At 37.9% G+C, this 26,986-nt stretch overlaps 1 protein-coding gene across 5 annotated transcripts in view, besides 1 other annotated feature; it reads left to right on the forward strand.

Annotated features, from left to right (window-relative positions):
* BCKDHB (branched chain keto acid dehydrogenase E1 subunit beta) overlaps positions 1 to 26,986 on the forward strand; it is a 360,067-nt gene that overhangs the window by 308,505 nt on the left and 24,576 nt on the right. Inside the window, exons 10-11 of one of the 5 annotated variants that reach the window (XM_047419212.1) lie at positions 3,182 to 3,235; positions 25,571 to 26,636. The exons of 2 other annotated variants lie outside the window; for them this stretch is intronic. In XM_047419212.1, the coding sequence (XP_047275168.1) occupies positions 3,182 to 3,220 (39 nt within the window). In that variant the 3' untranslated portion in view covers positions 3,221 to 3,235; positions 25,571 to 26,636. Of the gene's footprint in view, positions 1 to 3,181; positions 26,637 to 26,986 lie in introns of those variants that run through there. 2 more of the 5 variants (XM_047419211.1, XM_047419210.1) reach the window with 2 other exon arrangements.
* Positions 23,225 to 24,424: an enhancer, noted in NCBI's record as "P300/CBP strongly-dependent group 1 enhancer chr6:81148056-81149255 (GRCh37/hg19 assembly coordinates)". NCBI's record gives its function as "activates an origin of replication core promoter dependent on BRD2, BRD4, P300/CBP, MED14 and CDK7 cofactors, with strong dependence on P300/CBP, by STARR-seq in HCT116 cells {active_cell/tissue: HCT116}" and the evidence as "EXISTENCE:reporter gene assay evidence [ECO:0000049][PMID:35650434]".

Below are 26,986 nucleotides of genomic sequence, written 5' to 3' on the forward strand. Positions count from 1 at the left end.
TTTATCCTGAAACTTCAGCAAAGTTTATCAGCTGAAGGCGCTTTTGGGCCAAGACTATGGGGTTTTCTAGATATCAGGTCATGTTGTTTGCAAACAGGGATGGTTTGACTTCCTCTTTTACTATTTGGATGACCTTCATTTCTTTCTTTTGCCTGATTGTCCTAGTCAGAACTTCCAATACTATGTTGAATAGGAGTAGTGAGAGGGCGTCCTCATCTTACCTTGAAAGTCCTCCCAGTTTTCAAGGGAAATGCTTCCAGATTTTGCCCATTGAGTATGATGTTGGCTGTGGTTTTGTCATAGATGGTCCTTATTATTTTGAGATGTTTGTTAAATACCTAATAAATTCAGAGCTTTTAACATGAAGGGGTGTTGAATTTTATCAAAAGCCTTTTCTGAATCTATTGAAATAATCATGTGGTTTTTGTTTTTAGTTCTATTCATGTGATGAATCACATTTATCAATTTGAGTATGTTGAACCAAACTTGCATCCCAGGGATAAAGCCTACTTGATAAGGCTTGATAAGCTTTTTGGTGTGTTGCTGGATTCGCCAGGCCAGTATTTGATTGAGGATTTTTGCATCAATGTTCATTAAGGGTATTGGCCTGAACGTTTCTTTTTTTGTTGCGTCTCTGCCAGGTTTTGGTATCCAGATAATTCTGACCTCATAGAATGAGTTGGGTAGGAGTCCTTCTTTCTCAATTTTTTGGTCTAGTTTCCATAGGAATGATACCAGCTCTTCTTTGTAAATGTTGTAGAATTCACCTGTGAATCTATGTGGTCCTGGGCTTTTCTTGGTGGGTAGTATAATTGTTATTGACTCAATTTCAGAGCTTGTTATTGATCTGTTCAGAAATTCAATTTCTTCCTGGTTCTGTTTTGGGAGGGTGTATTTCTTCAGGATTTTTTTTTATTTCTTCTAGATTTTACAGTTTATCTGCGTAGAGGTGTTCATGATATTCTCTGAGATGATTTGTATTTCTGTGGGGTCAGTGGGAATATCCCTCTTGTCATTTCTGATGGTGTGTATTTGTCTTCTCTCTTTTCTTCTTAGTCTAGCTAGTGGTCTACCTATTTTATTAGTTCTTCCAGAAAACCAGTCCCTGGATTTATTGATCTTTTGAATAGGTTTTTTTTTTTTTTCTTTGTATGTCAATCTTCTTCAGTTCAGCTCTGATTTTGGTTATTTCTTGTCTCCTGCTAGCTTTGGGACTTATTTGCTCTTGGTTTTTTAGTTCTTTTTATTGTGATGTTAGCTTGATAACTTGAGGTCTTTTTAACATTTTGATGTGGTCATATAGTATTATAAATTTCCCTCTCAACACTGCTTTAGCTGCATCCCAGAGATTCTGGTACTTTGTAACTTTGTTCTCATTAGCTTCAAAGAGCTTCTTGATTTCTGCTTTAATTTCATTAATTATCCAAAAGTCATTCCGGAGCAGGTTATTCAACTTCCATGTCATTGTATGGTTTTGAGTAAATTTCTTAGTCTTGATTTCTAATTTGATCGTGCTATTGTCCTAGAAATTGTTTCTTATGATTTCCATTCTTTTGCATTTGCTGAGGAGTATTTTACTTCTGATTATGTGATCAATTTACAGTTGTCCCATGTGGTGGTGAGAATAATGTATATTCTGGGTTTTTTATTTTTATTTTTATTTTTTTTAATTTTATTATTATTATACTTTAAGTTTTAGGTATTCTGGGTTTTTATTTGCTTTTTTTGTTTGTCTGGTGGAGAGTTCTATAAATGCCTATCAGGTCTATTTGATGCTGTACTATGCTCTGGCCCTAAATATTCTGTCTCAATTATCTGTCCAGTATGGTGAGTGGGGTGTTAAAATCTCCCGCTGTCATTGTGTAGGAGTCTAAGTCTCTTTAAAGCTTTCTAAGAACTTGCTTTATGAATCTGGGTGCTCCTGTGTTGGGTGCATATATATTTAAGATACTTAGATGATTTTGTTGAATTGAACTCTTGACCATTATGTAATGCTCTTGTCTTTTTTGATTGTTGTTGGTGTAAAGACTGTTTTGTCTGAAATTAGGATTGCAACTCCTTTTTTTCTGTTTTCCATTTGCTGGGTAGATTTTTCTCTATCTGTTTATTTTCAGCCTATGTGTGTCACTGCATATGAGATGGGTCTCTCAGAGACATTATATCAGTGGGTCTTGGTTCTTTATCTAGCTTGCCACTCTGTGTCTTTTAATTGGGAAATTTAGCCCATTTACCTCAAGATTAGTATGATATGTGTGGATTTGATTCTGTCACCATGATGTTAGCTGGTTATTTTGCACACTTGTTTATGCGGTTGTTTTATAGTGTCAGTGTGTACCTCAGTGTTTTTGTAGTGGCTTGTAATGGTCCTTCCTTTCCATATTTATTGCTTCCTTCAGGACTTCTTGTAAGGCAAGTCTGGGGGTAACGAATTTCCTCAGCATTTGCTTGTCTGCAAAAGATCTTATTTCTCCTTCACTTATGATGTTTAGTTCGGCCAGATATAAAATTCTGGGTTGGAGTTTCTTTAAGAATGTTGAATATTGTCTCCCAACCTCTTCTGGTTTGTAGGGTTTCTGCTGAGAGGTCTGCTGTTAGTCTGATGATCTTCCTTTTGTAGGTGACCTGACATTTCTCTCTAGTTGCCTTTAACATTTTTTTCTTTATTTCAACTATGGGGAATCTGATAATTATGTCTTGAGGATAATCTTCTTTTGGAGTATCTTACTGAGGTTCCCTGTATTTTCTGAATTTGAATGTTGGCCACTCTAGCTAGGTTGGGAAAATTCTCCTTGATAATATTCTGAAGTATGTTTTCCATGTTGGTTCCATTCTCCCCATCTCTTTCAGGGACACCAATGAGTCTTATATTCCATCTCTTTACATAATCCCATATATCTTGGAGGTTTTGTTTTTTCCTTTTCATTCATTTTTCTTTTTTTGTCTCACTATCTTGTTTCAGAGAGCTCATCTTCAAGCTCTTAGATTCTTTTCTCCACTTGATGTATTCTGCTATTAATATTTGTGATTGCATTATGAAATTCTTGTATTGTGTTTTTCACCTCTATCAGGTCGTTTGTTTTACCATGATTTTTAGCTTCCTTGGATCTGGTTTCAACATACTTCGGTAGCTCAATGATCTTTGTTCCTATCCATATTCTAAATTCTATTTCTGTCATTTCAGCTATTTCTGCCTGGTTCAGAACCCCTGCTAGAGAGGTGATGCAGTTGTTTGGAGGTAAGAAGGCACTCTGGCTTTTTGAGTTGTCAGGGTTCTTGTGCTGATTCTTTCTCACCTTTGTGGGTTTATCTACCTTCAATCTTTTAGGTTGCTTACCTTAGGATGGATTTTTTTTCTTTTATCCTATTTTTGACCTTGAGGGTTTGATTATGGTAAAAGGTGGATTCGGCCAACTGGCTTTGTTTTTGGAAGAATTTAGGGAGCCAACACTCAGCTTCCAACTGCTGAACTGTGTGCTCTAACTCTGTGTTCTTGTATTGGGCCCTGCCTTTCTTTTCTGGCTCCTTGAGGTTAGGAATCCACTATGCTGGGGAAAGGCCCAAAGTGCTTCTGGATCACTAATCACTACACTGTGATAGGTGGTGTTAACCAAAGTGCTTCATAGTGTGGTGACAGCGGAATCCATCCTTGTTTGCATGGGTCAGCCGCAGTGGTAGGGCAGCTGCAGCAGAGTGCTAGTGGGTGCCGGGGTTCCTGCCTCTCTGTGGGTGTTCATCACGGTAGCAGAGGTAATACAGCTTGGGGGCCACTTCTGGTGATTGTGTGCGTAGTTTTCCTGGAGGCGATGTTGGCTCCAGTTGGGTGTGGCACTGGCAGGTGCAGGTCCGAGTGCCTTCTCTGTGCCTCACAAGAAAGAGTGGTCACTCAGGTCAGGGCAGAATCTGCTGTTCTCTGTGCAGAATTAGCATCAGAGCACAGTGCTCATGGCAGCAGGGCTGGCTGGCTCTTTGCCTGCCAAGACCTCATCTGCAATGGAGATCATTTGGGGGAGGTGGGACAGCCTGCACTCTCACGTGCTGACAGGGCAAGGAAAGCAAAACCCACAGGCAGATACACACCAGCAAAGTGATGTGGGGAGTTGCCATGGGTCTGGGGGAAGCTGCAATATGAAGAAAGAATGTGTGGGCTGTTGCGTGGCTTTAGGGGCCACCATGCTGTAGTTCTCTGCTGGTCAAGCATAATTCACCAGCACAGAAGCTATGGTGTGGGATCCCAGAGCACCTGAGACTGATCTGCAAGCAGGGATGGCCAGGCTGGGGCCCCAGGAGAGACCGGCAGACCAAGAGCTGCTTGTGTCAGACTGACCCTCTCTCATGGGCAAGGCCACCCTGCAGAGTTCAGGTCTGGAAGTTTTCCTATGGCTAAAGTCTTCTATGGGAGCAAGTTGAGCTTAGGGGGATGGTTTTCCCTGGCCATGCTTTATTACAGGCACTCCTATACCAAACCCTCTGGGATCCATATCAATTGGCTTGCTACCCCTGCCATTTGTTTAAGCAGCCTCAACCACCCCATCAACTGATGTGTCTGTGGTGTTTGAGGGGTCTCTTCCTGCTGATTTCCAGAGGTCCATGGTGAGATAGGATTGCTCCTTACCAGTTCAACTCACCTCTTCCCCCAGAGCCACTGATGGCCAGGAATGAGTTCTGGTGCACTGTAGTCCCATGAACGGTTCCCAGCTTTCCTTTTTCACTCTTTTAATTATTTTTTTTCTTTTTGTTCCTTTGAATGGATAATTTCAAATGATCTATCTTTGAATATGCTAATTCTTTCCTCTACTTGATTAAGTCTTCTATCAAAGCTCTCTAATAAAATTTTTATTTCAGACATTGTATTCTTCTGCTCCAGGATTTCTATTTGGTTCTTTTTTATAGCTTCTATAAGCTTGTTGAATTTCTCATTTTATTCATGTATTATTTTCCTGATGTTGTTTAATTGTCTATTTGTGTTCTCTTGTAGCTCACTGAGCTTCTTTAAGGTGACTACTTTGTATTCTTTGGCAGACAATTTTTGATCTCCAATTTTTTAAGGTCAGCCACTACCCACTGGAACTTTATTTTGTTCCTTTGGTCCTGTCACATTTCCTTGATTCTTCTTGTTCCTTGAAGCTCTGCATTGCCATGTTTGCATTTGAAAAAGTATTCACCTCCTCCAGTCTTTATTGACTGGCTTTGGGAGAAAAAGGCCTTCTACATATTCTGGTAGACACGCAGACTTTTTCTATGGATTTTCCTGCTTCACTCCTTTTGTTCCTTCTCAGAAGGAAAGTTTTAGGATTGTGTGCTTTCTCCAGTTTTATAAAGCCAGGCCTGGTGCTAAGAGCATCCTGTTTAGCTTCCCTAGAGCAGTGCCCTGAAATGTTAAAGTTTGTACCTTCTTTCAAACCAGCAGAATCATGCCAGCTACTAAGATCTGTACATGCTGTTGAGATCCAAGGGCTCTTTGCTGGAACTCATGTGTGTTGTGTGTGGAAACACATGAGGTGCTGTCTACAGAGGAATGCCACATGGTGAAGTCTGTGAGCTGCTTAGCAAGATTCATGGCCAGCTGTTGAGCATTGTGCAGGTTGCTATGTACTCCTGTCCCTTCTCCTTGCTTTCAGTGGTCCCAGACTATTCAGCTGTGCTGCCGATGCCCTCAGTGTTCTGGGTGGGATGAGGCCTAAGTGGGCCTTTTGGGCAGTGTCCCATAAGGTTAAGGAGCCAAATGCTCAGTTAATTTTCATTTTCCCCTGTGGAAGCAATTATGAACCAAAGTGATCTCTCTTAGAATAAAGCTAGGCTTCCTTGGGGGATGAGTGACATGTAGAGTGAAACTGTTCTTCTCACCTCTTTCAACAAGTCTGCTCTCATATTTTTTGTTTTACTGGAATACTGGAACCTCTCAGCTAAACTCTGGGGCTCTGATATGGTTTGGCTCTGTGTCTCCACCCAAATTTCATCTTGAATTGTAATTCCCACAAGTTGAGGGAGGGACCTGGTGGGAGGTGATTGAATCATGGGGTTGGTTTCCCCCATTCTGTTCTCATGATAGAGAGTTCTCATGGATCTGATGGTTTAAAGGTGGCAGTTTCCCTTGTGTGCTCTCTCTCTCCCCTTCTGCCTTGTGAAAAAGGGGCCTACTTCCCCTTTGCCTTCCATTATGATTGTATGTTTCCTGAGGCCTCCCCAGCCGTGCAGAACTGTGAATTAATTAAACCTCTTTTGTTTATAAATTACCCAGTCTCTGGTAGTATTTTTATAGGATTGTGGAAACAGACTAATACAGAGAATTAGCACTGGGAGTGGGGCACTGCTATAAAGATAACCTGAAAAGGTGGAAGCAACTTTGAAACTGGGTAATAGGCAGAGGTTGGAACAATCTTGACGGCTCAGAAAAAGACAGAAAGATGAGGGAAAGATTGGAACTTCCTAAAGACTTGTTGAATGGTTTTGATCAAAACCCTGATAATGACATGGATGGCCAATGAAGTCAAGCTTGAGATGGTCTCAGATGGAACTTATTGGGAAATGGAGCAAATGTTACTCTTACCATGCTTTAGCAAAGAGACTGGTGGCATTTTGCTCCTGCCCTAGAGATCTGGGGAAATTTGAACTTGAGAGAGATGATTAGGGTATCTGGTGGAAGAAATTTCTAAAGAGCAAAGCATTCAAGAAGTGACCTGGCTGATTCCAAAAGTGTTTGGTCATATGCATTCACAAAGAGAATACCTGAAACTGGAAATTTATTTTAAAGGAAAACAGAACATAAATGTTTAGAAAATCTGCAGCGTGACCATGAGGTAGAAAAGAAAAACCCATTTTCTTGGGAGAAATTGAAGGCTGCTGCAGAAATTTGCCTAAGTAATAAGGAGCAATAAGTTAGTAGCCAAGATCATGAGAAAAATGTCTCCAGAGCATGCCAGAGTTCTTTGTGGCAGCCTCTCCCATCACAGGTCTAGAAGTCTAGGAGGTAAAAATGGTTTTGGGGCTGGGCCCAGGACCCCACTGCTCTGTTCAGCCTGTGGACCTGGTACCCTGCATCCCAGCTGCTCCATCCCCAGTCCTGGCTAAAAGGGACCAAAGTATCACAGGAGCCATGGCTTCAGAGGGTACAAACCCAAAGCCTTGTTGGCTTCTATGTGGTGTTGGGTCTGCAGTGTGCAGAAGACAAGAGTTGAGCTTTGGGAATCTCTGCCTAGATTTTAGAGGATGTATGGAAACACTTAGATGTCCAGGCAGAAGTCTGTTGCAGGAGTGGGGCCCTCATGGAGAACCTCTAGGGCAATGCAGAGGGAAAAGGTGGGGTTGGTGCACCCACACAGAGTCCCCAATGGGGCACTGCCTAGTGGAGCTGTGAGAAGGCCACCATCCTCCAGACCCCAAAAAGGTAGATACATTGAAAGCTTGCACTGTACACCTGGAAAAAACACAGACACTCAATGTCAGCCCATGAAAGCATCTGTGGGGTCTGCAGAGACACAGTAGTGCAGCTGCCCAAGGCCTTAGGAGTGCACTTCTTGCATCAGTGTGCCATGGATGTGAGACATGGAGTCAAAGGAGGTTATTTTAAAATGTTAAGATTTAATGAGTGCCCTGCCAGGTTTTGAACTTGCATAGGGATGGTGGCCTCTTTGTTTTGGCCAATTTCTCCAATTTGGAATGGGAACATTTACCCAATGCCTCTACCCCAGTTGTATCTAGGAAGTAAAAAACTTGTCTTTGATTTTACAGGCTTATAGGTGGAAGGGACTTTGCTTGTCTCAGATGAGACTTTGGACTTCAACATTTGAGTTACTGCTGAAATGAGTTAAGACTTTGGGGGACTGTTGGGAAGGCATGATTGACTTTGAAATGTGAAAGGGACATGAAATTTTTGAGGGGTTAGGCGTGGAATAATATGGTTTGGCTCTGTGTCCCCACCCAAAATTATAATCCAATTGTAATCCCCACATGTCGAGGGAGAGACCTGGTGGGTGATGATTGTATCATGGGCGTGGTTTCTGCCATGCTATTCTTATGATAGCAAGGAGTTCTCACAAGATCTACTGGTTTAAAAGTGGTAGTGTTCCCTATGCTCTCTCTCTCTATCCTGCCACCTTGCGAAGAAAGTGCCTTGCTTTCCCTTAACCTTACACCATGATTGTAAGTTTCCTGAGGCCTCCTCAGCCATGTGAAACTGTGAGTCAATTAAACCTGTTTTGTTCATAAATTACCCAGTCTCAGGTAGTATTTTTATAGCAGTGTGAAAACAGACTAATACAGGCTCTAACAAAGATATTCTAGTCTGTGATTGGTTGAGAAATTTGGTGTTTCTCTTGAAGGCGATATGGGTTGGAACCTCTTATTCCACCATCTTGCTAACATCCTATATTGCTTTCTTCTTAGTCTTCCCCCTTCCCCACCCATTGTGTAACTTGGTGGAACCATTTGGGTTACATAGTTATCCCACTGTATTCTCACCACTGTTCAAATCTATAGCTTTAAGCCATATTTAATCTCCACATCTCTTGAATTAGTCACCAATTACTATATAGGTTGATTTTGTAGAATATATCTCTGCTCTATTCTTGCTGAGTCTTTTTCTTTATCCTTTCACCTACTAATTAGTTTCTTGTTCATCTGAACTTATAACAGTGTCTGACAAATTATATTATAGTGATGCATTGCACCTCCATTCTTTCTTACCCAAGCTCTTTATGTATGGGTACTGCTTGCCTCAGAAGATGTGCTGCATTCAGAAATTTTCTTTGATTTCATGCCTGATTGTTTTCCAGGAGTTTTCAGTATCTGGAGTTGGGCAAAGTATACTCTGGTTTAGAAAGCATCTTTAAATGGTAGGGAGAGATACTTGCAGTGTCCCAGTTGCTATCAGTTCTGGAATGCTGAGATGTGAATGTATGGTGATAGAGGCATGAAACATCTATCTATTAATTTTTAGAAATTTTGTTGCATAAAGTGAGAGTGTGTCAGAAACTATAGTTCTGCCAACTGTCTTTTAGCTAATACTAAATCCTCCCAGATTCTGACTGTCTTTCAGCCTTTGTTTTCAGTGTTATCAAGAATTTTTATTTATTTTTGTTTTCAGAAGCTATTTAGTGAGAAGTTGAGAGGATGATTTTGGAATTACTACCCAGAGTCCTCTTGAGCCAGAATTCTTATTGCATTTGAAACTGTTCTTGTGATGCCTTTAAACTTCAAAGCACGCTTTTAAGTTAAAGGTCTCTAAAGTTCTTTCTGATGTCAAGACTGAAAGGAGTGTTTTAAAGAATACTGCATATTTTTATTCTTTCCCTAACCCATTTCTCATTCTTATAATTGCTTCCTAGTTTTTGGTAATATAACCCAGATTAATGCAACTACATCATTTGATATTATATAATTTCATTACATAATTAATTTGGCTATTTGCATCCAATTTTATAAATATTCAAAACTTTAAAAATCTAAGTTTATGTTTCATGCGTTAATGTTTATTTTTAATACTATTTTTAACCATAAGACCCCCATTCTTGAAATATTTAATTTGATTTATTCACATTAGTGATACATTGACACCTCATGTAGAATTCTTTCATTGAGTTTCCTTCTTTCAGCCTCAAAAGATATTGCAACATGGTCTCCTGGCATGTCAAATTGTGTATTGGACTACAGAAAGCAATTAGAATTTTTTAGCAAAGGGTATTTTTGGGTAATTTCTCAGGTTGACAGGAGGACTTTTCCTTTCAGGAGTTAATGGTGCCATTGCTAGGTTCCTAGCATGGAAAGCCATGGGATCTGGAATAGAGAGCGGAAAAGAGTCCAAGGAAAGCTTGTCATAGTCTTTCTGGCTTTGAAGCTGCTTGGTGTGGATGTACCCCTCTGTGGTGTTTCATGACTTATTAAATTGTACTAATGCAAAGAAGAGGAATGGCCAAAATTATAGATGACTGTCTGAAAAAGACTTTTCCCAGACTGAAGAAGTGGAACAGCTCACTGATAGAGAATTTAATGAATTACAGCTTGGAAGAAACCAAACAAAGATGACTTTACACTAATTTGCCACACACAAAACATTCTCCAAATATACAGGGGATAATGACTAAGCCCTGTGTAAGGGACTTAACTAGGTTGTATGTATACCACAGTTTTGGAAAAAAAGACAACTAACATTCCTTAGGCCACACTGGAATTCAAGACTAAAATACTTAATTTATCCAATGGTTAAGTATGAATTGTGCAACCACTGAGCTGCCAAATTTTCCTTTGGTTATGAACTGTTACAGATGCAACCACCACACATCACTGAGAAATTGTAACAGCTTGGTTTTTTCAACTGAAGAAATATAGATTCAATGAATTTGCTCTTTACAGCATTTTTCAGAGTAAACTATGTGTGGTCAGGAAAGGAATTACATCTGGAGTATCTGATAATAAGTCATTTCACAAGCAGTATTTAACGGAAAGATCTAAAATAGCATGTGTGAAAAAAGGTTATTTTGTTCTAGAGGAGGACCAACAGTTTTGAACACTTAGTCACCACAGCAGCTGATGACAATGAAACCTAAGACATCTGATCACTTTACCATGATCGTCTGCAAGGTTCTTACAACTACAACATCAGTTGTTCTCATGATAGTATACTTTTCTTAATGTTTATCATGCTGTGTTTTGTATTTGGAAAGGGGGATAATGTTGTGAAATGAAAACTTTCTCTCAGTTTTAAAAAATAAATGAGACAAATGTAACATCTCTCTAAGTTGTTTTCAAAGCAAGAAGCTTTCTTTGCACAGAGGCTGAGGGTAATATTTTTTTCAACTTTGTGTCTAAGATAAAAAACCAAAACTGACTTTTATGTTTCATTTCAAATTTTACTGGCAAAGACTTATTGCTGACATGGGTCTGGTGCAGACTGAGCTTTTCCTCTCAACTCATACTTAGCAGAGTAGTGTTCTAAATACAGCTTCATTTGCCTAATCACCACACTTTGCTGTCAGGCTAGGTAGAGAGAGTCTTCTTATATCTGCCAGGTTTTCTGTGAACAGGAAGAAAAATGTTTTCTAGTAAGAATGTTGTCTCCCTATGACCGAGGATGTTTTTGTATTTAATAATAATGCTCGTATGAAGATGATTTGATACTGCACTCTATAGGATGTTGAATTCATTTGGCTATCTTGGGCTGGGAATAGTTGTTTCTAAAAACTGGGACTTAGCTTCATTTATTTTATTGTTTTTCTGTTTTCCTTTGCTCTTACCTTTATTATTGTCTTCTTCTCTTTTATTTGGGTTTAACTTGCATTCTCCTTCTAGCATATTAAGATGGAAGCTTAGATCATTGATTCAGAACTTCTTTTCTAATATAATCATACAATGCTATAAATTTTCCTGTAAGCACTGCTTTAGCTGCCTCCCATAAATGTTAATATTATGTATTTTCATTTCCATTAAGTTAAAAATGCTTGTAAATTTTCCATGTGATGTCTTCTTTGACCCATGGGTTATTTGGAAGCAGCTTTTTAAATTTCTAAAGATGTGGGGATTAAAAAATATCTTTCTGTTATTAATTTCTAGTTTAATTATCTTGTGGTCAGAGAACACACTTTATACAAATTTAATCTTTAAAAAATGTACTGAGACATGTTTATGGCCCAGAATATAGTTTATTTTGTAAATGCTAAGTGTTTACCTGAAAAATTGTGTATTCTACTGTTGTGTGAGAGAGTATACTATAAATATCTGTTAGATTAAGTTGGTTGATAGTGTTGTCCACATCTTGTATAACCTATTGATTTTCTGTATGATCGTTCTACCATCAGTTGCTGAGAGAAAACTTCTAAAATCTTTAAACTATAATTTTGGATTTTTATATTTCTTTTCTCAGTTCCATTAATATTTGCTTCATATACTTTAGAATTCTAATGTATTTGTATATTTATTAGATATGCAAACATTTAGGATTACATTCTCTAGATGAATAAATACCTTTATGATTATAAAATGTCCATCTTTATTCCTGGTAACATTTTTCATTCATTCTAAAAATGACCTTCATCTGAAATTAATATAGCTGTTTTAGCTTTCTTCTGCTTAGGCCTAAATGGTATATTTTACTTTGTTCTTTCACTTTTAAGGTTTATTAGCGCTAATTCTTGGATTTGTTTTTTGTTTTTTAATGGCTGTTTTAAGGTTTGGAGTACCCATATTCAACTTACTCTAGTCTATCTTCCAACAATAATACTATAACACTTTATATATAGTGTAAGAATATTATAGTAGTGTATTTTCATTTTCCCCATTCCAACCTTTTTGCTATTATAGTCATACATTTTACTTGTACGTGTTATAAACCCCAAGATACATTGCTATTATTTTTGCTTGAACAATTATATTTTAAAGAAATTGGCAAATGAGAAAAATAATTTTAAAAGACTTTACATTTATCCACATGTTTACTATTTGCAGCATTTTTCATTCTTTCCTATAGATTTTAGTTTCTAATTTTCATTCTGCCTGAATATTTCCTTTAATATTTCTTTTTGTGCCTGACTGATGACAATAAATTCTTTTCAGCTTTTAATTTTTGTTCTTTTGGTCTGAAAATATCTTTATTAAATCTTCATTTGCTAAGATAATTTTACATACTATAGAATTCTAGGCTTACAATTTTCTTCAAATCTTTGAAGATGTTATACCACTGTGTTCTGCTTGCCTACTTCTTGACAAAAAGTCTGCAGTTGTTCATATTTTTTTCCCTTTGTACATAATGTGTTTTCCCCTTCCTCTGGCTGATTCAATTTTTATTTTTTATTATACTTTAAGTTCTGGGACACAAGTGCAGAATGTGCAGTTTTTGTCAGATAGGTATACACGTGCCAGGGTGGTTTGCTGCACCGTCACCTACATTAGGTATTTCTCCTAACGCTATCCCTCCCCTAACCCCCCACCCCCTCACAGGCCTCGGTGTGTGATGTTCCCCTCCCTGTGTCCATGTGTTCTCATTGTTCAACTCCCACTTATGAGTGAGAACATGCGGTGTTTGGTTTTCTGTTCTTGTATTAGTTTGCTGAGAATGATGGTTACCAGCTTTAACCATGTCCCTGCAAAGGACATGAATTCATCCTTTTCTATGGCTGCATAGTATTCCATGGTGTATATGTACCACATTTTCTTAATCCAGTCTATCACTGATGGACATTTGGGTTGGTTCCAAGTCTTGCTATTCTGAATAGTGTTGCAGTAAACATACGTGTGCATGTGTCCTTATAGTAGCATGATTTATAATCCTTGGGGTATATATCTAGTAATGGGATCACTGGGTCAAATGGTATTTCTAGTTCTTGATCCTTGAGGAGTTGCCATGCTGTCTTCCACAATGGTTGAACTAATTTACACTCCCACCAACAGTGTGAAAGTGTTCCTATTTCTCCACATCCTCTCCAGCATCTGTTGTTTCCTGACTTTTTAATGAACACCATTCTAAGTGGTGTGAAATGGTATCTCATTGTGATTTTGATTAGCATTTCTCTAATGACCAGTGATGATGAGCATTTTTTCATGTTTGTTGGCTGCATAAATGTCTTCTTTTGAGAAGTGTCTATTCATATCTTCTGCCCACTTTTTGATGGGGTTGTTTGTTTTTTTTCTTGTAAATTTGTTTAAGTTCTTTGTAGATTCTGGATATTAGCCCTTTGTCAGATGGACAGATTGCACAAATTTTCTCCCATGCTGTGGGTTGCCTGTTCACTCTGATGATAGTTTCTTTTGCTGTGCAGAAGCTCATTAGTTCAATTAGATCCCATTTGTCAATTTTGGCTTTTGTTGCCATTGGTTTTGGTGTTTTAGACATGAAGTCTTTGCCCATGCCTATGTCCTGAATGGTATTGCCTAGGTTTTCTGCTAAGATTTTTATGGTTTTACATCTTACATTTAAGTAGTTAATCCATCTTGAGATAATTTTTGTATAAGGTGTAAGGGAGGGGTCCAGTTTCAGTTTTCTGTATATGGCTAGCCAGTTTACCCAACACCACTTATTAAATAGGGAATCCTTTCCCCGTTGCTTGTTTGTGTCAGGTTTGTCAAAGATCAGATGGTTGTAGATGTGTGGTGTTATTTCTGAGGCTTCTGTTCAGTTCTGTTGGTCTATGTATCTGTTTTGGTACCAATACCATGCTGTTTTTGTTACTGTAGACTTGTAGTATAGTTTGAGTTCAGGTAGCATGATGCCTCCAGCTTTGTTCTTTTTGCTTAAGATTGTCTTGGCTATGCGAGCTGTTTTTTTGGTTCCATATGAAATTTATAATAGTTTTTTCCAATTCTGTGAAGAAAGTCAATGGTAGCTTGATTGGAATAGCATTGAATCTATAAACTACTTTGGGCAGTATGGCCATTTTCACAATATTGATTCTTCCTATCCATGAGCATGGAATGCTTTTCCATTTGTTTGTGCCCTCTCTTATTTCCTTAAGCAGTGGTTTGTAGTTCTCCTTGAAGAGGTCCTTCACATCCCTTGTAAGTTGGATTCCTAGGTATTTTATTCTCTTAGCAGCAATTGTGAATGGGAGCTCACTCATGATTTGGCTCTGTTTGTCTGTTATTGGTGTATAGGAATGCTTGTGATTTTTGCACATTGATTTTGTATCCTGAAACTTTGCTGAAGTTGCTTATCAGCTTAAGGAGATTTTGGGCTGAGTGGTGGGGAAATATATGATCATGTCATCTACAAACAGAGACAATTTGACTTCCTCTTTTCCTATTTGAATACCCTTTATTTCTTTCTCTTACCTGATTGCCCTGGCCAGAACTTCCAGTACTATGTTGAATAGGATTGTTGAGAGAGGGCATCCTTGTCTCGTGCCGGTTTTCAAAGGGAATGCTTCCAGTTTTTACCCATTCGGTATGCTATTGGCTGTGGGTTTGTCATAAATAGCTCTTACTATTTTGAGATACGTTCCATCGATACCTAGTTTATTGAGAGTTTTTAGCATGAAGGGCTGTTGAATTTTGTCAAAGGCCTTTTCTGCATCTTTTGAGATAATCATGTGGTTTTTGTCATTTGTTTTGTTTACACGATAGATTACGGTTATTGATTTGCATATGTTGAACCAGCCTTGCGTCCCAGGTATGAAGCTGACTTGATCATGGTGGATAAGCTTTTTGATCTGCTGCAGGATTCAGTTTCCCAGTATTTTATTGAGGATTTCTGCGTTGATGTTCATTAGGGATATTGGCCTAAAATTTTCTTTTTTGTTGTGTGTCTGCCAGGCTTGGTATCAGGATGATGCTGGCTTCAGAAAATGAGTTATGGAGGATTTGCTTTTTTTATGTTGTTTGGAATAGTTTCAGAAGGAATGGTACCAACTCCTCTTTGTACCTCTGGTAGAATTCAGCTGTGAATCCTTCTGGTCCTGGACTTTTTTTGGTTGGTAGGCTATTAATTACTGCCTCAATTTCAGGACTTGTTATTGGTCTATTCAGGGATTCAATTTTCCATTTCTTCTAGATTTTCTAGTTTATTTGTGTAGAGGTGTTTATTGTATTCTGTGATGGTAGTTTGTATTGCTGTGGGATCAGCAGTGATATCCCCTTTATCATTTTTTATTGCATCTATTTGATTCTTCTCCCTTTTCTTCTTTATGAGTCTCGCTAGCAGTCTATCTATTTTGTTGATCTTTTCCAAAAACCATCTCCTAGATTCATTTATTATTTGAAGGGTTTTTTGTGTCTCTATCTCCTTCAATTCTGCTCTGATCTTAGTTATTTCTTGTCTTCTGCTAGCTTTTGAATTTGTTTGCTCTTGCTCTGCTAGTTCTTTCAATTTTGGTGTTAGGGTGTAGATTTTATATCTTTCCTGTCTTCTCTTGTGGGTTTCTAGTGCTATAAATTTCCCTATACACTCTGCTTTAAATGTGGCCCAGAGATTCTGGTCCGTTGTGTCTTTGTTCTCATTAGTTTCAAATAACATCTTTATTTCTGCCTTCATTTCATTATTTACCCAGTAGTCATTCAGGAGCAGGTTGTTCAGTTTCCATATAGTTGTGTGGTTTTGAGGGAGTTTCTTAATCCTGAGTTCTAATTTGATTGCACTGTGGACTGAGAGACTGTTTATTATTATTTCAGTTCTTTTGCATTTGCTGAGGAGTGTTTTACTTCCAATTATGTGGTCAATTTTAGAATAAGTGCAATGAGTTGCTGAGAAGAATGTATATTCTGTTGATTTGGGGTGGAGAGTTCTGTGGATGTCTATTAGGCCTGCTTGGTCCAGAGCTGAGTCCAAGTCCTGAATATCCTTGTTAATTTTCTGTCTCATTGATCTGTCTAATATTGCCAGAGGGGTGTTAAAGTCTCCAACTATTATTGTGTGGGAGTCTAAGTCTCTTTGTAGGTCTCTAAGAACTTGCTTTATGAATCTGGGTGCTCCTGTATTGGGTGCATGTAAATTTAGGAAAGTTACCTCTTCTTGTTAAATTGCTCCCTTTACCATTATGTAATGCCCTTCTTTGTCTCTCTTGATGTTTGTTGGTTTAAAGTCTGTTTCATCAGAGATTAGGATTGCAATTCCTGCTTTTTTTCTGCTTTCCATTTGCCTGGTAAATATTACTCCATCCCTTTATTTTGAGCCTATGTGCATCTTTGCAGGTGAGATGTGTCTCTTGAATACAGCACACTGATGGGTCTTGACTCTATCCAATTTGCCAGTCTGTGTCTTTTAATTGGGACATTTTGTCCATTTACATTTAAGATTAATCTATTGTCCTATCCATGTTTAGTGCTTCCTTCAGGAGCTCTTGTAAGGCAGGACTGATGGTGACAAAATCTCTCAGCATTTGCTTGTCTGTAAAGGATTTTATTTCTCCTTCACTTATGAAGCTTAGTTTGGCTTGATATGAAATTCTGGGTTGAAAATTATATTCTTTAAGAATGTTGAATATTGGCCCCCATGCTCTTCTGGCTTGCAGGGTTTCTGCAGAGAGATCCACTGTTAGTCTGATGGGCTTCCCTTTGTGGGTAACCTGACCTTTCTCTCTGGCTGCCCTTAATATTTTTTCCTTCATTTTAATCCTGGTGAATCTGATGATTATGTGTCTTGGGGTTGCTCTTCTTGAGGTGTTCTCTGTATTTCCTGAATTTGAATGTTGGCCTGCCTTGCTAGGTTGGGGAAGTTCTCCTGGATAATATCCTGAAGAATGTTTTCCAACTTGGTTACATTCTGCCCATCAATTTCAGGTACACCAACCAAATGTAGATTTGGTCTTTTCACATAGTCCCATATTTCTTGGAGGCTTTGCTCATTCCTTTTTATTCTTTTTTCTCTAATCTTGTCTTCTTGCTTTATTTCATTAAGTTGGTCTTCAATCACTGATATCCTTTCTTCCGCTTGTTCGATTTGGCTACTGATACTTGTGTATGCTTCACGAAGTTCTCGTGCTGTGTTTTTCGGCTCCATCTGGTCATTTATGTTCTCTAAACTGGTTATTCTAGTTAGCAATTGGTCTAACCTTTTTTCAAGGTTCTTCGTTTCTTTGCATTGGGTTAGACATGCTCCTTTAGCTTGGAGGAGTTTGTTATTACCCACCTTCTGAAGCCTACTTCTGTCAATTCATCCAACTCATTCTCAGTCCAGTTTTGTTTCCTTGCTGGTGAGGAGTTGTGATCCTTTGGAGGAGAAGAGGCATTCTGGTTTTTGGAATTTTTAGCCATTTTGCTCTGGTTTCTTCCCATCTTTGTGGATTTATCTACCTTTCATCTTCAATGTTAGTGACCTATGGATGGGGTCTCTGAGTGGATGTGCTCTTCCTTTCTGTTTGTTAGTTTTCTTTCTAACAGTTAGCCCCTCTGCTGTAGGTCTGCTGGAGTTTGCTGGAGGTCCACTCCAGACCCTGTTTGCCTGGGTATCACCAGTGGAGGCTGCAGAACAGCAAAGATTGCTTCCTGTTCTTTCCTCTGGAAGCTTCGTCTCAGAGGGGCACCTGCCAGATGCCAGCCAGAGCTCTCCTGTATGAGGTGTCTGTTGGCCCATACTGGGAGATTCCTCCCAGTCAGGATACAAGGAGGTCAGGGACCTACTTGAGGAGGCAGTCTGACCCTTAGCAGAGGTTGAACACTGTGCTAGGAGGTCCTCTGCTCTTTTCAGAGCTGTCAGGCGGGGACGTATAAGTCTGCTGAATCTGTGTCCGCAGCCACCCCTTCCCCCAGGTGCTCTGTCCCAGGGAGATGGGGGTTTTATTTTTAAGTCCCCAACTGGGGCTGCTGCCTTTTTTTCAGAGATGCCCTGCCCAGAGAGGAGAAATCTGGCAGTCTGGCCTCAGAGGCCTTGCTGAGCTGCCGTTGGCTCCACCCAGTTCAAACTTCCCAAGGGGCTTTGTTTATACTGTAAGGGGAAAACCGCCTACTCGAGCCTCATCAATGGCAGACACCCCTCCCCGCGCCAAGCTTAAGTGTCCCAGGTTGATCTCAGACTGCTGCTGTGCTGGCAGTGAGAATTTCAAGCCAGTGGATCTTAGTTTGCTGTGCTCTGTGGGGGTGGGACCCATTGAACCAGACTACTCGGCTCCCTGGCTTCAGCCCCCTTTCCAGGAGAGTGAAGGGTTCTGTCTCATTGGCATTCCAGGAGTCACTGGTGTATGGAAAAAAAAAAGAACTCCTGAAGCTAGTTCGATGTCTGTCCTCTGGCTGATTTTAAGATTTTTTAAAAAACACTGATTTTCAGTACTTTGTGTGTGATGCACGGTTGTGCAATTTTCTTTCTGTTTGTTTTGATTTGGAATCATTATGTTTTTTGAATCTTTGGGTTTGTAGGCTTTATCATATTTGGAAATTTTTTTGGCCATTATTTCTTTAAATATTTTGTGTCTTTCTCTTAACTTTTCACTTCTGTGACTCCAGTTGGACAAATGCTTGACCACTTAATATTGTTTCACAGGTCACTGATACTCTGCTCTTTATTTGGGAGGCATCTTTTTAGTTAGTTAATTGTTTTACTCTTTTGAGCTCACTTTGGATAGTTTATATATGTATATGTGTCAACTGTTTTGGGTTAACAATTTTTTTTTCTGCCATTATATTCTGCCATTGTATTCATACATAATCACACTTGATATATTTTATTAAATTTCAAATATTGCTTTTCTTCATCTCGTTTGAGCCATTTTGATTTTTTATATCTTCCATTTCTCTCTATATCATTTAATATTTTTCTGCTTCTTAAAAACATACAACAGATTATGAGTATTATTTTAATAATAGTTTTCAGTCTACAAAGTAGACTGAAATAATACTCTACAAAGTAGAGTATTATTTTAATAATACTCATAATACTGTTTTAATGTACCTGTCTGCTAATTTTATCACCTCTGTCCTATGTAGGTCTATTTCTTTTTATTGATTTTTCTGTTTATTAATTAAATATTTTCCTGGGTTTTGCATGATGGTAATTTTTCATAGGATGTTAGATATTGTGAATTTTTTTATTAAATACTGTTTTTTATTTCATTAAAGGTTGTTAAATTTTGTTTTGATGTCTAATTAATTTACTTGAAACCAGTTTAATCCCTTTGTAGAATTCTTTTTCAGCTTTCTTAGGGCTTTGTTTTCAACAGAAGCTGCTTGTCTTGAGCTAATTTCATTCTGCTCCTAAGGCAGTACCTTCGGGAACTCTACCCAATTTCCTATATATTATGAAATCTCTCTACTCTGGCTGGTGGAAATATGTTCATGCCCAGCTCTATTTGAGCTCCACGACTTGTTCAGCCTACTGCTTTTCAGGGATTATTTCCCTGGCTTTGGGCAGTTTCCTTTTATGCAGTCATAGATCTGTGATCAGCCAGAAACTCAATGGTGTTTTTCCATAGATCTTTGGAGTTTTTTTCTTTGTGCAGCTTCTCTTCTTCAGCACTCTTTTCTGCAAATTCTTGCTATCTTGGCTTTCTTTAATTCTAATCTCGAACTTAGAAAGACTGCCAGGCTCTGTTTGGATTTCTCCAATTAGCTTTGTAGACTGAAAACTATTTCTAGGCAGCAAACTGGAGCAATTGTAGAGTTTATCTCATTTATTTATCTATCCCTATCCTAGGGATCATGGTCCTGTGCTGTCTGTTAGCCAATGTCTTAAAACAATTACGTCACATGAACCTCTATCATGGCCAGCAACAGGAGTCTACAGCTGGGCACAATTTGATTTTACTGAAATTTGTCATGTTATTTGTTAACTCTTATTTGTTGTTTAAATTTATATTTAGGAGCCAATGTAAAGTAATGGGAAAGAATCAGGACATGGAGACAGACAATCCAGGACCAAATCATAGCTCTATCTATATATGTACTAATTAAATCATTCAACTCATTCATAACTTTATTATTTTATTTTATAATGTTTATTGAATGTCTACTTTGTTCTAGTCACTGTGCAACATTCTAGTCTTAGTTTGTCATGTATAAAATAGGGAGAAATAACACTACTTCATTGTGGTAGATTGTGAAAATTACCACAAATTATTCCACTTTTTTTCAAGATCTTGCAATGCAAACTTGCAGCCTCTTCCATTAAGACATAAAGTTCATTTCTTCACTCATTAAACCTGGGCTGACACTGTGACTCATTTTGGTATATATACTGAAGCTGAAGTGAAACGTGTGTGAGTTCTGAACCTAGGTCATAAGAGACTTTTCAGCCAGGCACAGTGGCTCATGCCTGTAATCCCAGCACTTTGGAAGGCCGAGGTGGGTGGATCACGAGGTCCAGAGTTCGAGACCAGCCTGACCAACGTGGTAAAAACCCGTCTCTACTAAAAATACAAAAGATTAGCTGGCTGTAGTGGCGCATGCCTGTAATCCCAGCTGCTCAGGAGGCTGAGGTGGGAGAATCGCTTGAAGCCAGGAGGCGGAGGTTGACATTGTGAGAAAAAACTACAACATCTCTCAGGCCCAGCGCTTGATGTTAAATGAAAATTAAAAGAAGTTATAGTTTTTATTCTCTCAAATCTATTGTCTGTTGGCAAGATCCTATTTTATATGCCCAAAACCTAATATTAACTTTGTTTGTATTCTTTCTGAAAAATTCTTTTCTTTTTTTTTTTTTTTTTTTTTTTTTTGGCGGAGTCTCGCTCTGCTGCCCAGGCTGGAGTGGAGTGCAGTGGCGCGATCTTGGCTCACTGCAAGCTCTGCCCCCCGGGTTCACGCCATTCTCCCGTCTCAGCCTCCGGAGTAGCTGGGACTACAGGTGACCGCCACCACACCTGGCTAATTTTGCTTTTGTATTTTTAGTAGAGATGGGGTTTCACCGTGTTAGCCAGGATGGTCTCCATCTCCTGACCTCGTGATCCACCCGCCTTGGCCTCCTACTGGGCCCGGCCAAAATTCTTATTTTCAAAATATTATCCTGTTATAATCTCATGTTTTTACCCTATGGCATTTACCCATGTATTTAAGCATGTTAGATGCATGTACTGTTGTTTTTACTTCACCTGTCCCTTTCCATGTTTAGAAATCATCCTAGACATTCCTAAAAATGGTTTAAGTGTCACCTCCTCTGTGAAACCACTGCGAATTTAGAGGAATTTTTAAGCCTTTTCTTTGTGATTCCAAGGCATTTTGATAGTATTACTTATAGTGCTTTTCATATTATAAATATTTGATTAATACTCTTTCCCTTTTGAAGAAGATCTACAGTTTATTTCACTTCTTTCCGTAAATCCATGTAGAGATCCATGATTATATGTTGAATATATGCCTGACAGCATGATTGCTTTTTCTAAGAATATGTTTTCCTTTTAAGTACTGGTACATTCCAAACTACAGGTTGATTGTCACTACTCAACTGAATGCTTTGGGAGAACAGAATCATTCATGCCAAGCACTGATATTTTCCAAATTAGTCTGTGGAATAACCACTAGGTATAAGCTTTATTTTAGTTTTTTAGAATTGTTTTAATATACTCACCCATAATATTATTAGATGAGAAAAAGAAGATTTAGGCATTATTTTAATTAACTTAGTGTTTAAGACTATTTAAAATAGTATTTAATTTAATATAACTGATTATGAATTTCCAAACTTTTGAATTCTGCTGTCTCAGAAGTGTTCATCTTATAGACTTCCCAGAATAAAATCTTTAAAACCACCACAAAGTTCAGTAAAGAAAAAAAAATTCTTACATGGTTAAAACAATAGTTTAAGATATCATTACACTTTAACTTTTATTTCTGGAAAACAATCTTCAGAGCATTATCATTCATCTTAAGATTACTCATGTATGCATTCTTTGAAAATCTAACATCTTAACATGTATCCGCTGCCTTTTTTTTGCAAAGAGCCTCATTTTTCAAAAGTCACAATTAGAGGGCTTGCCAGCATTTTAACCTTGTGTTGGCTTCAATTCTCTTTGGAACAATGATCTCCCAGCCATAGTTACTACTTTCATCCTAGAAGCTCTCACTCATCCCATGAGGCTTTCTTCATTATTCCCAAGTTTAGCAACAGGGAAGCTGCAGTGTTCTCACAAAAAAAGTCCAAAAGTTGCTTAAAGAGTATAAGTAATATTTTCCATTTTTATTTAAATTTCTTTCTGATCCAGAGCCTTCCTTTTAGATTAAGACTAATTTCTTTGATGCTCATGGTTTTCAGATGATAAATCCCACAGTAACATTAGCATCTGACACTCTGAAAAAGCTCCTATGGTGCATAAATTTTCATCAAACACTCTAAATATTTTGTGGTTCTTAATGTTATGCTATATTTGAGTCAAGGAGTCATGGGATATATTTAAAAATCCAAATGACAGAGAAGTATATTGAATTGAAAAGTGATAGTTCTGCTGTACGTTCCAATCTATGCTGCAAATCCCCTTTTCCTTGCCAGAGATAACCTTGGTGCACTGTCTTCCTATGCCTGTCCTGTGTATCTCGCAGATGTATTTATTCATGTGGATGTCGCTTATTACGCACTGGATAATAGAAAGGATGAAACTCTTTATATCTGGGTCAACATCTGGCTTCCATTATATGTTGGATACTGAAGAAAATGAAGGAATACAAAGGCAAATTGCACTATTATCTCAGCCTCGGTTTCTTCCTCAGATCACATACACACTAGGAAACACAGTGCATACACACAGGCAGTTGTACTTAAATGATGTCATAATTTGCACACTGTTCTGCAACGTATTTTTGTTCTTACTACATCCTAGTTATTTTCTCATATCAGAACATTCCTCATCTTTCTTAACAAGGATCTCATAGCATAGACTTTTCATAATTTATGTAGCCATCACTGTATTGATAGGTGTTTACATTGTTTCTATTTTTTCTATTACAAAAATGTATTTGAAATTCATGTCTTTTTACATGCATGTTTTTACATGTGTACAAATATTTCTGTAAGACAGATTTCACTAAGTAGAACCAAAAAGTGATACAATTTTTTGTTTTCAAAAGATACCACTAAATAACTCCAAAAAGACCATAACAATTACATTTCACACTATGAAATTCCAAGATTCCTCATACCCTCATCAGCACTTGATAGTAAATGAGAAATATTTATATTACATATAAATGAAAAAAATTAAAATATACACTTGTGTTTCTAGCTCCAATTAGAGAAGTAACATTTTCAAAGCCTATTTGCTACTGAAAATTTAAAAGCACACATGAACTTTAGCATAACAAACACATATCATTTTCTGATTAAATGGGGTTACATCTGTGTTTGTTGTATTTGAGGATGAGCTCCTATAACAAAAAGGATCCAAAATACAGTGGCTTAACAAATGCAGAAATGAGTGTCTTTCTTGTGTAACAGAGCGGAAGTAAATAGCTCAGATGGGTGGGACAGATCAGCTATATGCAGTCATTCAGAGACAGATTCCATCTGAATAACTCAGACGGGTGGGACAGATCAGCTATATGCAGTCATTCAGAGATAGATTCCTGCAACCTAATTGCTCCCTCATCCTCTGGGATACAAATGAAGCTGGACCCCTGCCACATACAGAAAACATCTTAATGAGTTTTGCTGAATGTTTTAATTTCCAGACCCAGACACATCACTTCTGCTCACATTCTATTAACCAGAACTTGTCCATCTAACTGCTAGAGAGGCTGAGAAATACAACCTAGTTCAGAGGTTTCGACTCAATCACAATTTTATTTTCATGGCAAAAGGGAAGAACAGATTTTGGTGGAACTCAGTCGCATTTACTACTGCCCCCAATGTCATAGTAATATTCAAATAACTGAACTAAATAAAAAAGATGGCATTTCATAAAGGCAAATCCAGGAGAAGATAGAAATTGACATATTCAAAAGGCAATGTTTATATATATGAGCTTTAAATTACATAGAAATTTTCTTCCAATAATATTTTTTAAAGTGTTTACAACTATTTGGTCCATCCTAGGTCATCTGAAGTAAGTAAGCATTTCTTCTTATCTGTGGAAATATTCTATAAATATTGCAATGACTTAAAACGAAGTTCCCAAGATACCTCAAATTGTCATATTTCCTTCAGTTTGTATTAGTTTCATCTCATTACTTTAATCCTGGGCCACTTTTTAAAGGGCTAAACAAAAACAAATTTGTAACTACTTAACATTTTGAAAGTATACACAAGTAAGCCTAAGAAGAATTTAATGTCTAGAAATAAAATGCACCAAATGTATGCTCTACAGCAGGGGAAATCAATTCTAAAGCTGGGCCTGGGATAGAGAATAGAGGAGGCCAAAACCCTCTCTAGTTAGACTTAAGTCTGTACTAGAAGACATGCCTAACTCCTGTCTTGCTGGCACAATGAACACATTTAACTAAAGGCATACAACAAAGCCATTATTGTTTTCTGGAAGATGATAAGACCAACAGAATAGTATAATGCCTTTTTTGGCACTGAGAGATGAAGTCAGAGAACTTTGGAACTCAAAAGGAGCAATAAAATGGCCATGTGAAAAGGACACTTTGGAAATACAGTAATGACAGAAATATAAGATGCATAAATGTGATCAAGATTTACTGGTAGAGATGTGCTTCTGAGGTGCTGTCACTCTCTGCCACACCTGGCAGCAGGATGTTAGATGAGATGGGAGCCCACAATTAAATACCAATAAAGGTAACTTCAGGACTTCAGCCTGTGGCCTGCTTCATTCTGACCTCATAAAGAAGGTAGTCTGTGAAATGTATGCATGAGCCAAGGACTGTGTAAAAGGTAATACAATGACTAAGTACTCAACAAAAAAACAGAGAGGAGCAGGTAGTTTATGACTAACTTTACCAGATGGCTTCCTTAAGCACAGTCATAAATAATAAGTGAATGTCACATAAAAAGAATCACAGGAAGAGAATGGATGGACAGCTTCTTTACCATATGCCTTTTGCAAGATCCCTGATGGATTTAAATTCTGTTGGTTTTTTAGAGAAGTTGTTCATACCTCAATCCTGTGCCGTTCTTAGATTACACTGATCAGTCTCTTCTCTGCTCATAAACACCCCACATGCCCATGTTTGTTAACTAAAGATGTAATTTACTTCTGTTTTTAGCTTGGTACATTTTTTTTTTTTTTTCTGAACGTGTGTCTCTACAACTCCCTTTCACTTATCATTGTTCTGCTTTCAGTTGAGTCACTCAGTCATCGCTAAGGACTCATTAGCTGGTTAATGAGAAGCACTGTATGGAGAGAAAACTGTGCGCCTGCCAACTGCCTGCCGAAGGACCTGGGCTTTAATTTTCTTGCCATTTCAATCCCAATCTTTCTTTAGGAGACTGATGATAAGGTTCGGAGTGGACTCTTTGTTTGATGGCTTTCTAATATGGAGACAGTTCCAAGAGAGCCAGGATTAAATTGGCCAACTTCATGCACATGTGTGACCCAACCCAAATTACAGTCCAGGTGGCTGGTGGTGAAAGCCAACTCATTAACCTACAGTGACACCTGTTCATCTGACACACCTTTCCTGAGCTCAAAAGGTCTATTTCTTTTGAAATATTTATGGCTCTGAAACTAAAGGTCATTCCATTCTTGTCTTTAACTTCACATGATGGTTAAAACAGACACTTAAAATAATAAAATCACCTTTAAAGGCAGAGAAGAAACATACAAAGAAGTGTCCTTTCTGTCAGGACAGAAAGAAAATAAAATGTGCATATAGCATCCTGAAAGAAAAATCTTAACCCAATTTTAAGTGGGAGTTTTATTCAAATATCCAAATGACAGTTTCTATGGCACATCTTCAATTTGTTCATAGTAACCAAATTGAACATATTGCCTTATTCTGTTATGTGTATGTATGTCCTCTTGGCTGCCAAACTCTGGAGAGCTCAAAACAAGTGTGCAAGCAAAACTGAAAGAGGTTAATATCACAAGAGAACCTGCCACTTATAAAGGTCTTCTCTGTGTTGATTCTCAGAGACATGTTAATGGTCAATTTAATAAAAATAATTTAGTAATTTTTTGCCTGACACTTTAGATTTAATTTTTTAATTAAAATAACATATAATAAACAGACAAAGATTTTGTCATTTTAGATAAAGTTAGTAACTTTGGCTTTGGTTTTCCTTCTGGTTCCTCAGTGCTTTTTTGCAGTGTTTACCTATCTGTGGTCTCATGTCTTTCCCATTAATTCATTGAAATTGCTGTCATCATGTTTGTTATTAAATTCAAGTGACATTTCTCAGTTCTTAACCTATTTGACCTCTTATTTATCCAGCCAAAAAATATATACCAAATAGCTACTAAGTGCCAGGCACTGCATTTAGATGATAGGAATAAATGCTGAAGTAGACATATAAAGTCCCTACAGTTGTGGCATTTACAGTGGAATAGGAGAGCTTAATATTAAACAGTTACATAAACAATTATTCAATTACAATATGATTAATGATACAAAGAACAAATATAGCGTGCAATAAGAGCATATAAATGAAAAATATAATTTAGTTGGATATGTCAGGGAAATGTCCCTGAGAAAAAGACAGCTAACCTTAATATTAAAACTTATTTACTCAAAAATAAGTGTGCGAAACTGTATAGTT

This window comes from Homo sapiens, chromosome 6, assembly GCF_000001405.40.
Source record: "Homo sapiens chromosome 6, GRCh38.p14 Primary Assembly".
Taxonomy (NCBI): Eukaryota; Metazoa; Chordata; class Mammalia; order Primates; family Hominidae; genus Homo; species Homo sapiens.